The sequence below is a fragment of the Homo sapiens genome, chromosome 9, assembly GCF_000001405.40.
Source record: "Homo sapiens chromosome 9, GRCh38.p14 Primary Assembly".
In the NCBI taxonomy this organism is placed as follows: Eukaryota; Metazoa; Chordata; class Mammalia; order Primates; family Hominidae; genus Homo; species Homo sapiens.
The window spans coordinates 2,396,447-2,407,736 of record NC_000009.12 but is presented as its reverse complement, the minus strand read 5'-3'; the positions used below and the strand labels follow the sequence as shown (position 1 = coordinate 2,407,736).

Below are 11,290 nucleotides of genomic sequence, written 5' to 3'. Positions count from 1 at the left end.
CTGCACTCAGCTTACGCTACTGGCCTGGATCCCACGCCTACCACGGGTGAACCATGTGGCAGAGTGGCAAGGGGTGTGTGAGCAAGCATGAGGTCCAGCCACTGCGCATGGTTAGAAACACTGGCTGCTGCCATGTGTGGGCAGTTCCAGGTGCCGGCACAGGCACTGGATCTCTGTGAGGCTGCAGCAGAACCAGGTGCATTGCAAGCATTTTCGCCAGTTGGCACTGGGGAATGCAGTGGTGCTTGGAAGCTTGGAGATGCTGGGAACTGCAGGGCTACAAAGAGAGAGTCGCATCCCTGGCTCAGGGAGCTCCCAGGTCTGGGCTCCCCAAAGGGCTGCAGCTCTTCTCTCCTTCTCTTTGCCCCCAACATGGTGAGGAAGGGGTATGTTTCAGCCCTGTTTGTATTAAAACTCTTTTAGTCCTGCTATTTAACGGGTCCCAAGTTCTTGTACTGTGACCAGGAAGAATGAGGCACTCAGACAAGTGGAGGGTGAGCAAGATGAAGAGGAGCTTTATTGAGTTATAGAATAGTTCAGAGGAGACCGCAACGAGTAGCTCCTTTCCAAAGTCAGGGTGTCCTGACGAATGTTTAGCTCTTAGCAGAGAGGAGGCCCTGGAGTGGGTTATGCCTTTCTGCAGCTGGTAGTCCCGACGTCTCTGCAAGTTTCTGAAGCTCTCAGCAGAGAGAAGGCCTTAGAGTGGGTAGCTCCTCTCTGCTGTTGGTCATCTTGACATCTGCTCAGCTCTGGCTGAACCCAGGGTTTATATGGCCTCAGAGGGGAGGAAGTGTGCACTGATTGGTCCATGAGCAGCCACCGGTGCCCAGAAAAGGCACCACAAGCTCCCATTCCGTTGGTGGGACTGGCAGCCCAGCCCCCAGCCTTCAGGCCCTCCCTTGCCTGAAGGTGGGGCTTCATGGGAACCTGCCCCCTTCCACCCAGGAATCTGTCTGCCTCTGCTGCTGTTCATGGCACCTGGGCTGAGCCAGACTTTGCTTTGATGGAGCAGGTACTGACAGCAGGGAGAAGCCAGGCAGTGGGAGCTGGCACCTCTGAGCCTGCAAGGGCATGGGGACCTTCTGGGCCCCCAAAAGTGCAGGGAGGTCCAGGTCTGCAGCCATAGTTTGGGCAGCTGCGTCTGTACCTGGGAAGGCAGGGCTCCTTCCTGCTCCTGGCCCCCCAGTAACACAGCGAGACTTGGTTCTGCATCCATGACTTGGGCAACTGCAGCCGCGCTCAGAGGGCAGGGCTCCTGCCTGCTCCCTGGAGTGGGAGGTCGGCTCTACAGCCATGGTTTGGGTGGCTGCAGCGGCCCCAGGGGACATCCCACCCCAACTTGGAAGGGGCGGGGCTCCCACTTGTGCCCACCTCCCACCAGCTCCACGGAGTGTGCAGCCCTGGCCATGCCTCCCTGCTGCTGCAGGCGTGATGGCAGCAGCTGCTGCAGATGCTCCGCCACTGCCGCCATTACCGTTCAAGAGTTAAAGTGAGACTTCTTTTTCTGGTAATACATTTGACTTTTTCTGGTATCTGTAATAACCTTTATAATGCTGAGAACTAAAAATGAATGATCAAATATAGAAAACATCTTTTGAAAATGTTTAAGAGGTAAGAGGAAAGGAAAAATAATTATCAGGACCAAATCTAAGGGAAGCTGGGAGCCCAGAACTCAGAGAGATTCAAGAGAAAGGAGGAAGCTGCTTCTGCCTTGAGGGCATGTATCAAATCTGATAAACTTCAAATCTAATGTTTCCTTATTGATTTTCTGTCTAGATAATCCGTCAATTGTTGAAAGTGGGGTACTGAGATACCCTACTATTATTGCATTGTGGCCTATCTCTACCTTCAGATAATTTAATAATTTCTTTATATATTTAGGTATTCCAATGTTGGGTGCGTATATATTTACAGTTTTTATGTCTTCTTGATGAATTTTTCCCTTTACCATTACATAATGGCATTCTTTGTCCCTTTTTACTGTTTTTTTACTTAAAATCTATTTGGTCTGATATAAGTATCAGTCTTATATAAGTATAGCTACCCTTGCCCTGTTTTGGTTTCCATTTGTGTTGGAATATCTTTTTTCATTGCTTCACTTCCAGATTATGTGTGTTCTTGCTAGTAAAGTGAGTCTCTTGTATGCAATATATAGGTAGTTTGTTCTTTCCTTTTATTCATTCAGCCACTCTGTGGAAAATTTGGAAATTTTAATGTGTTGGAAAATTTAATCTATTTACATTCAAGGTAGTTATTGATAGGTAAGACCTTGCTACTGCCATTTTGTAATTTGTTTTCTGGTTGTTTGGTAGATCTTTTGTTTCTCTTTTCCTCTCTTGCTGTCTTCCCTTGTCGTTTGATTATTTTCTGTGGTGCTATGCTTTGAACACTTTCCTTTTATATTTAGTGCAACTACTACAGGTTTTTGCTTTGTGTTTACGATGAGGCTTCCAGAAAATATATTATACTTATAACAGGCTATTTAAGGCTGATAACAACTTAACTTTAATCATACAAAAATGCTACACTTTTACTGCCTCCCCCACTTTTATGATTTAAGTGTCAATATGTATATACTTTTGTAATTTGTATCTTTTAACCATTTATTGTAGCTACTGTTGTTTTTGATAGTTTTGTTTTGCAACCCTGGTAATAGAGATAAAATTGCTTTATATATCACCCTTACAGTATTAGTGTTCTGAATATCACTTTGGACTTTTGTTTCAGGCTAAAGGAATCCCTTTAACTATTCCTGTAAGACAGGTCTAATGGTGATGAACTGACATCGTTTCTGTTTATCTGGGAAAGTTTTTATTTCTTCCTCATTTCTGAAGGACAGCTTTTCCAGGCAAAGTAATCTTAGTTGGTAGTTTTTTTTCCTTCTGCACTTTGTATATGTCATCCCACTCTCTCCTGGCTTGCAAGATTTCTGCTGAGAAATCTGCTGATAGATGTATTGAGACTCCCTTGAATCTGATATTTTTCTTATCTCTTATTGCTTTCAGAATTTTTGTCTTTGATTTTTGATAATTTAATTATGATGTGTCTTGGTGAACTTCCCTTTGGGTTGAATTTAATTAGAGACCTCTGAGCTTCCTTTACCTGAATGTTGTCATCTTTCCCCAGATATGGGAAAATTTCAGCCACTGTTTACTTAAATATGCTTTCTGGGCTCTGTTTTCTCTTTTCTCCTTCTGAAAATCTTAAGCAAATGTTCATTCTTTTGATAGTGACCCATAATTCACATAGGCTTTTTTTTTTCATTATTTCTGCTCTTTTGATTGTATAATTTCAAATGTCCTGCCTTCAAGCTCACAATAATATCTTCTGCTGAATCAAGTCTGCTGTTGAAGCTTCTATTAATTTTTTTTAGTTCAGTTGTTGTATTTTTTATCTCTAGGATTCTATTTGATTTTTAAAAATGATTCTGTTTCTTTTTAAAACTTCTCACTTTTCTTCATAAATTGTTTTTCAAATTGTATTTAATTTTCTATCGATATTTTCTTTTAGTTCACAAAGCTTCTTTAAGATAATCATTCTAAATTCCTTGTCAGTCATTTTATAGATCTCCATTTATTCAGGGTCCATTATTAGAGATTTATTAGTTGCTTTTTTTGGTGTGATATTTCTCTGGATCTTTGTAAACCTTACACTAGTGTCTACACATTTGAAGAAATGGCTACCTCTTCCAGTCTTTGCTAATTTTCTTCAGTAGCAATAAACCTTCACTGTTTAGTCTAGCCTGGGATTCTGGATGGCCCAGCTGGTGGCAAGTCCTGGCAGGCAGGCCTTGCTGTCAGATTCTCTAGCTGGGCTGTACTGCTGACCGCTTTGAGGTCAAATGGAAATGCTGGCTGTGCTCTAGAGTTTGATGAGATCACTGGCTGGACTCTGTAGTTAGGCAGAGCTATTAGCTAAGTTTTGTGATTGCCTCTGAGCAGAGTTACAGATTGTCTTCTCTCACTAGGTAATACTGCTGTTTGGAATCTGTAGATGAGCAAAGCCATGTGCTAAGCTCTGAGATTAGGCAAGATCTCAAGATCACTTCTCAGCTGGGGACAGTGGTTCACGCCTATAATCCCAGCAGTTTGGGAGGCTGAGGGAGGCAGATCACCTGAGGTCAGGGGTTTAAGACCAGCCTGGCCAACATGGTGAAATTCCATTTCTATGAAAATATAAAAATTAACCAGGCATGATGGCAGGTGCCTGTAATCCCAGCTACTTGGGAGGCTGAGGTGGGAAAATTGCTTGGACCTGGGAGGTGGAGGTTGCAGTGAGCTGAGATTGCACCACTGCACCCCAGTGTGGGTGACAGAGTGAGACTCCATCAAAAAAAAAAAAAAATGCTCTCCAGATTCCTCCTCTCTAGGCAGGGCATCTCTGAAAGAAAGGGAGCAGCCCCAGTCAGGGGCTTATAGATAAAACTCCCATCTCCCTGGGACAGAGCACCTGGAGGAAGGGATGGCTGTGGGTAGAGCTTCAGCAGACTTAAACATTCCTGCCTGCCAGCTCTGAAGACAGCAGCGGTTCTCCCAGCACAGTGCTTGAACTCTGCTAAGGGACAGACTGCCTCCTCAAGTGGGTCCCTGACCCCCATGCCTCCTGATGGGGAGACACCTCCCAGCAGAGGTCAACAGACACCTCATACAGGAGCGCTCCAGCTGGTATCTGGCGGGTGACCTCTGGGACGAAGCTTCCAGAGGAAGGAACAGGCAGCAATCTTTGCTATTCTGCAGCCTCTTCTGGTGATACCCAGGCAAACAGGTTCTGGAGTGGACCCCCAGAAAACTCCAGCAGACCTGCAAAGAGGGGCCTGACTGCTAGGAGAAAAACTAACAATAGAAAGCAATAGCATCAACATCAACAAAAAGGATGACCATGCAAAAACTCCATCCAAAGGTCACCAAGAGCAAAAACCAAAGGTAGATAAATCCACAAAGATGAGGAGAAAACAGTGCAAAAAGCCTGAAAATGCCAAAAACCATAATGCCTCTTCTTCTCCAAAGGATCACAACTCTTTGCCAGCAAGGGAACAAAACTAGACAGAGAATGAGTTTGATGAATTGACAGAAATAGGCTCCAGAATGTGGGTAATAACAAACTCCTTCAAGCTAAAGGAGCATGTTGTAACCCAATGCAAGTAAGCTAACAATCCTGATAAAAGGTTAGAGGAATTGCTAACTAGAATAACCAGTTTAGAAAAGGACATAAGTGACCTGATGGAACTGAAAAACACAGCACGAAAACTTCATGAAGCATACACAAGTATCAATAGCCAAATCGATCAAACAGTAGATCGATTGAAGATACCAGAGACTGAAGATCAACTTAAAGTATGAAGACAAGATTAGAGAAAAAAGAATGAAAAGAAATGAACAAAGCCTCCAAGAAATATAGGACTATGTGAAAAGACCAAACCTACAATTGATTGGTGTACCTGAAAGTGACAAGGAGAATAGAAACAAGTTGGAAAACACACTTCAGGATTTTATGCAGGAGAACTTCCCAAACCTAGCAAGACAGACCAACATTCAAATTCAGGAAAAGCAACCCCAAGACATAATTAACAGATTCACAAAGGTTGAAATAAAGGAGAAAATGTTAAGGACAGCCAGAGAGAAAGGTTGGGTTACCCACAAAGGGAAGCCCATCAGACTAACAGTGGATCTCTCTGCAGAAACCCTCAAGCCAGAAGAAAGTGGGGGCCAATATTCAACATTCTTAAAGAAAAGAATGTTCAACCCAGAATTTGATATCCAGCCAAACTAAGCTTCATAAGTGATGGGAAATAAAATTCTTTATGGACGAGCAAATGCTGAGAGATTTTGTCACCACTAGGCCTGCCTTACAAGAGCTTTTAAAGGAAGTACTAAATATAGAAAGGAACAACCAGTACCAGCCACTGCAAAAACAAACCAAAATGTAAAGACCGTCGACACTATGAAGAAATTGCATCAACTAATGGGCAAAATAACCAGCTAGCATCATAATGACAGGATCAAATTCATGTATAACAATATTAATGTTAAATGTAAGTGGGCTAAATGCCCCCATTAAAAGGGACACACTGGCAAATTTGATAAAGAGTCAAGACCCATCGGTTTGCTGTATTCAGGAGAACCAGCTCACGTGCAAAGACACACATAGGCTCAAAATAAAGGGATGGAGGAAGATTTACCAAGCAAATGGAAAGAAGAAAAAGCAGGGGTTGCAATCCTAGTCTCTGATAAACAGACTTTAAATCAACAAAAATCAAAAAAGACGAAGAAGGGCATTATATAATGGTAAAGGGATCAATGTAACAAGAAGAGGTAACTATCCTAAATATATATGCACCCAATACAGGAGCACCCAGATTCATAAAGCAAGTTCTTAGAGACCTGCAAAGAGACTTAGACTCCCACACAATCTTAGTGGGAAACTTTAACACCTCACTGTCAATATTAGACAGATCAATGAGAGAGAAAATTAACAAGGATATTCAGGACTTCAACTCAGCTCTGGACCAAGTGGACCTAATAGACATCTATAGAACTCTCCACCGCAAATCAACAGAATATACATTCTTCTCAGCACCACATCACACTTATTCTAAAATTGACCACATAATTGGAAATAAAACACTCCTCAGCAAATGAAAAAGAATGAAAATCATAACAAACAGTCTCTCACACCACAGTGCAATCAAATTAGAACTCAGGATTAAGAAACTCACTCAAAACCGCACAACTACATAGAAACTGAACAACCTGCTCCTGAATGACTACTGGGTAAATAACATATTTAAGGCAGAAACAAATAAGTTTTTTGAAACCAATGAGAACAAAGGCACAATGTACCAGCATCTCTGGAACACAGATAAGCAGTGTTTAGAGGGAAATTTATAGCACTAAATGCCCACAAGAGAAAGCAGAAAAGATCTAAAATCGACACCCTAACATCACAATTAAAAGAGCTAGAGAAGCAAGAGCAAACAATTCAAAAGCTAGCAGAAGACAAGAAATAACTAATATCAGAGCAGAACTGAAGGAGACACAGACACGGAAATCCCTTTTAAAAATCAATGAATCCAGCAGCTGGTTTTTTGAAAACAATAACAAAGTGTATAGACCAACAGCCAGAATAATAAAGAAGAAAAGAGAGAAGAATCAAATAGACACAATAAAAAATGATAAAGGGGATATCACCACTGATCCTACAGAAATACAAACTACTATCAGAGAATACTATAAACACCTCTATGCAAATAAACTAGAAAATCTAGAAGAAATGGATAAATTCCTGGACACATACACCCTCCCAAGACTAAACCAGGAAGAAGTTGAATCCCTGAATAGACCAATAACAAGTTCTGAAATTGAGGCAGTAGTTAGTAGCCTACCAACCAAAAAAAAGCCCGGGACCAGATGGATTCACAGCCGAATTTTACCAGAGGTACAGAGAGGAGATGGTACCATTTCTTCTGAAACTATTCCAAACAATAGAAAAAGAGGGAATCCTCTCTAATTCAGTTTATGAGGCCAGCATCATCCTGATACCAAAACCTGGCAGAGACACAACAACAACAACAAAATTTCAGGCCAATATCCCTGATGAACATTGATGCGAAAATCCTCAGTAAAATACTGGCAAACTGAATCCAGCAGTACATTAAAAAGCTTATCCACCACGATCAAGTCTGCTTCATCCATGGGATATAAGGCTGGTACAACATACGCAAATCAATAAATGTAATCTATCACATAAACAGAACCAGTGACCAAAACCACGATTATCTCAGTAGATGCAGAAAAAGTTTTTGATAAAATTTAATACTCTTTCATGCTATAAACACTCAATAAACTAGGTATTGATGGAATATACCTCAAAATAATAAGAGCTATTTATGACAAACCCACAGCCAATATCATACTGAATGGGCAAAAGCTGGAAGCATTCCCTTTGAAAATCGGCATAAGGCAAGGATGCCCTCTCTCACCACTCCTACTCAACATAGTATTGGAAGTTCTGGCCAGGGCAATCAGGCAAGAGAAAGAAATAAAGGTATTCAAATAGGAACAGAGGAAGCCAAATTGTCTCTGTTTGCAGATGACATCATTGTATATTTAGAAAACCCCATCGTTTCAGCCCAAAATCTCCTTAAGCTGAGAAGCAACTTCGGCAAAGTCTCAGGATACAAAATCAATGTGCAAAAATCACAAGCATTCCTACACACCAATAATAGACACAGAGCCAAATCATGAGCAAACTCCCATTCACAATTGCTACAAAGGGAATAAAATACTTAGGAATACAACTTACAAGGGATGTGAAGGAGAACTACAAACCACTGCTCAAGGAATTAAGAGAGGACCAAAACAAATGGAAAAACATTCCATGATGATGGATAGGAAGAATCAATACTGTAAAAATGTACGTTCTGACCAAAGTAATTTATAGATTGAATGCTATTCCTATCCAGCTACCATTGACTTTCTTCACACAATTAGAAAAATCTACTTTAAATTTCATATGGAACCAAAAAAGAGCCCGTATAGCCAAGGCAATCCTAAGCCAAAAGAACAAAGCTGGAGGCATCACGCTACCTGACTTGAAACTATACTACAAGGCTACAGTAACCAAAACAGCATGGTACTGGTACCAAAACAGATATATAGACCAATGGAACAGAAAAGAGGCCTCAGAAATAACACCACACATATATAACCATTTGATCTTTGACAAACCTGACAAAAGCAAGCGATGGGGAAAGGTTTCCCTGTTTAATAAATGGTGTTGGGAAAACTGGCTAGCCATATGCAGAAAAATGAAACTAGACTGCTTCCTTACACCTTATACAAATATTAACTCAGAATGGATTAAATATTTAAATGTAATACCTAAAACCATAAAAACCCTAGAAGAAAACCTAGGCAATACCTTTCGGGACATAGGCATGGGCAGAGACTTCATGTCTAAAACACCAAAAGCAATGGCAACAAAAGCCAAAGTTGACAAATGGGATCTAATTAAACTAAAGAACTTCTGCACAGCAAAAGAGACTATCATCCAAGTCAACAGACAACCTATAGAATGGGAGAAAATTTTTGCAATCTATCCATCTGACAAAGGGCTAATATCAAGAATCTATAAAGAACTTAAACAAATTTACAAGAAAAAAACAAACAACCCCATCACAGGGTGGGTGAAGGATATCAACAGACACTTTTCAAAAGAAGACATTTATGCAGCCAACAAACATATGAAAAAAAGGTCATCATCACTGGTCATTAGAGAAATGCAAATCAAAACCACAATGAGATACCGTCTCATGCCAGTTAGAATGGCGATAATAAAAAAGTCAGGAAGCAACAGATGCTGGAGAGGATGTGGAGAAATAGGAACACTTTTATGTTGTTGATGGGTGTGTAAATTAGTTCAACCATCGTGGAAGACAGTGTGGCGATTCCTCAAAGATCTAGAACCAGAAATACCATTTGACCTAGCATCCCATTACTGGGTATATACCCAAAGGATTATAAATCATTCTACTATAAAGACACATGCACATGCATGTTTATTGCAGTACTATTCACAATAGCAAACACTTGGAACCAATCCAAATGCCCATCAATGTTAGATGGATAAAGAAAATGTGGCACACATATGCCATGGAATACTATGCAACCATAAAAAAGGATGATTTCATGTCCTTTGCAGGGACATGGATGAAGCTGGAAACCATCATTCTCAGCAAACTAACACAAGAACAGAAAACCAAACACTACCTGTTCTCACTCATAAGTGGGAGTTGAACAATGAGAACATATGTACATAGGGAGAGGAAAATCACACACTGGGGCCTGTCAGAGGGTGAGGGGCTAAGGGAGGGATAACATTAGGATAAATACTTAATGTAGATGACGGGTTTATGGGTGCAGCAAACCACCATGGCACATGTATACCTATGTAACAAACCTGCACATTCTGTACATGTATCCCAGAACTTAAAGTGTAATTAAAAAAAAAAAAAAAAGAAAATGGTAGCTAAAAGTTGAAAACCTAAGTACAGATAAGTAGCTGAGAGGCTGAGAAGCTGTGCAGAGTTTTTAGCAGTTTCATGTGGTCACAAGAGACAAAAGTTATAGTTCACCAAAGATAAGAGATTGCAGTAATCACTCCAGATTTTCTGTCGGAACCCAAAGTGTTACTCCTTAGGAGTAAGAATGAGACAAAAATATATGAGCATTTATAGGAATTGAACACAAAGGAAAAATGCCATAAATATTTGAAAAAATATTTAAATAACCTGTAAATTATTTGCCCTCTCAAACTATGAATCAAATATGAGGTTAGGTTAAAAATATTTTTAGACATTCAAGGTCTCAAAATATGTACCTACCCGCCCTTTTTCTCAGAAAATTAATCAAAGATGTACTCCACCAAAATGAACACAAGATTAGGAAACAGAAGATTCATACAGGATTGAGGGAAAATAGAATCCACTGGGTAATGGTAAAGACAGCTCTTGAAAGGACAATTGAGCAGTAAGGACAATCTGTCCAGATTGAAAGAGGTTGGAAGTCTCCAGGGAATGTTTACTCAGGAAGATGAAATTAGTATCTTATGTGTCTGAATGTATTAAGAGTAGATTTAGGCCAGAGGCTTTGCTCCACAGATGTGCATATATGCATACTTGTCTCCTGGTCTGGAGAAGCTTTAAGCAGAACACTGAGGCTTTGTGTGGTCACTGCTTGCAGCTGGAGTTGGGCAAGATCAGATACTTTTCTTTGCAGGTAATTGCTGACCTGCACTTGCCTTCTGGCCCAGGAAAGTCTAAAGCAGAGTGCCAATACTTGGTGGGGCACTACATAGCTGCTGAAACTATGTTGGGTCAGATGATTTCCTCTGCAGATATTCCAGGTCCTGTACATGACTCCCTGTCTGGGGAAGGCTTAAAGAGAGCACTGAAGATTGATGGTGTTGTCCCTTGGCCACTTGGGATGTGCTGGGCCAGAGGTTGGGCGAAGCAAGATGCTTCCCTCCACAGATAGTCACTAATCTGCAATCTGCCCTTGCCTCCTTGCCTAGGGATGACTTAATGGGAGCACTGGGGGCTAAGTGAGGTTGCTACTCAGCTACTGGCATTGTTCAGGCCAGTTGCACCCCTCCACAGATATTCCAGGACCTGCACTTGCCTCCTTGCCTGAGAAAGGCTTAAGAAAAGCACCAGAGGTATGTAGGATTGCTGCTCAGCCACTGGAGTTTGGCATGGCCAGATGTTCCCTTCTACAGATATTCATGAATGTGC

The 11,290-nt window shown here is 41.2% G+C and overlaps 1 long non-coding RNA gene across 1 annotated transcript in view; it reads left to right on the top strand.

The window, feature by feature from the left end:
• The window catches only part of LOC101930053 (uncharacterized), a 121,382-nt gene that overhangs the window by 98,800 nt on the left and 11,292 nt on the right, over positions 1-11,290 (top strand). The window lies entirely within an intron of this gene.